The sequence below is a fragment of the Homo sapiens genome, chromosome 13 (genome assembly GCF_000001405.40).
Source record: "Homo sapiens chromosome 13, GRCh38.p14 Primary Assembly".
NCBI lineage: Eukaryota > Metazoa > Chordata > Mammalia > Primates > Hominidae > Homo > Homo sapiens.
In genome coordinates this window covers 58,368,014-58,369,862 of record NC_000013.11, presented here as the reverse complement: position 1 = coordinate 58,369,862, position 1,849 = coordinate 58,368,014, and positions in this window count along the sequence as shown.

Genomic DNA, 1,849 nt, shown 5'->3' with positions numbered 1-1,849 from the left:
ACGGGCTATTATAAGTGGGGTTCTTCAGAGGGCAGAGATATTGGGAGACTAAAAGTTGCTTAAATTATGCCCCATAAAAATATAGATGAGGCTCAGATGCCTTTGGATTAAATATTCATTACTGAATATTTACATAATGCATGTGAAAGTGCTTTTAAAATAAAAACTCTCTTTATATAAATGGAAGCTATGGCCAGATTTTCCCCATTACCTAGTAGCACACTTCAAAGCATTCTCTGGAGTCTTAGAGTGGAGAAATTTCTTCCTTTCTACAAAGGAAGTAGAAGACTGATTATTCTACACTATCCAAATCTATCCTTCTTAAATTCTTTGGGCAATCTAAAATTGTTCAACTTTTAGCAGGTATCATTTTTTGTATGATTTATAAATATATGATTCTTAAAAAGGGAATGTATATATTTTTAACTTCTGTTAAAAATGCTGTATGATCAACAGGGCCTTCTCAACAAATTATGCAGATCGTTTGAATGTCAGGAAACAAGCATAGACATATCTGGCTTCATATCCCACATCCACAATTTACTAGTTGCATGACCTTGGACAAATACTTTTAACTCTGTGCTTTATTGTTCATCTTTCCTTATGAGATTGCAATATCTACCTTGAAGGGTTACTTGAAAATTAAATGACAGTGCAGGCAACATTCCCAGGAACTGACACATTGAAAAAGCTGAAAACCACTTAATTTCCTCCTATGTAAATACATTATTATTGCCAAATTGAAAGCGGCCAAGTCTCAATTACCCATATTAATATATGAAAATTCCTATGCAGATAAATAAAAATAATGTGAACATAATTTTCACACAGTTTTGTGATCTACATTTATATTTGATAATGTTCTAATATTTCACTGTAAAATTTAGACATGAAAGGAAGATATTAGGAATTGAGTGGTTGAACCCTCCCATTTTACAGATGAGAATAAAATTCAGACACAGATAATAAATACAATTATTAATGTAATATAGCTAGTAAGTGGTAGAATTAGGATTGAAGATCAAATCTTTTTTGTCTGTTTTGTGATTTTACAGTACTTCAAATAATCAAACACTCAAAATGAATTATGAAAACATATTCAAAATGATCTCAATTTGCAGTAGCTGAAAAAGTGCCTCCTTTCACTAACTACCTTGCTGTTTATTACTTCCTTTCTGAGAATTTCATTCTGTATGTACCATAATTGTTTACACTAGTTCAAACCAGCATACAGTGTTATAATTCATGAGTAACTCCAGTCAAAATTTTGAGTAAGTTTATTCTAAACTTTCCACAACTTAGGACTGTTGTAAATTTTGTAAAAAATCACTGTTCTATCTATTCTGAAATATACAACATTAGAATTTTAAACAAACAAAAAAAATCACTGACCAAGTCTTTAAATAGTGATTGGATCACTTTACCGCATTAACAGACTATTGTTTATTTCAGAGGTTACAGACAGAGTAGAGGTGAGGACTATTTTTGAGGCTGAGCACATAGGCACCATCTTAGCTTAGTATCTTAGCTCATAACATCCCCAGAGGCAAAGAAGTAATTAAATCCTTTGTTGTAAAAGTCCTTCTACTATGACTCCAAAGCAGGTAAAACTAGCATATGATAAGAGTGAGCGGAGTTGCTGATAATGACATAAGTAATGATAAAGTAAGAAGAGCTAGTAATAATTTCTACAAGAACTGGAAATTGAGATTTGCTTTGGAATATTCACATAACTGATAATCTTCCAGGGAAAAAGACTCATTTCCCATTGCACACTATCTGTGCTTCTCTAATGGCATGTATTTTCTAACTGGCACTGCAGTTATCTATGCAAGTGTCCTATCTCTTT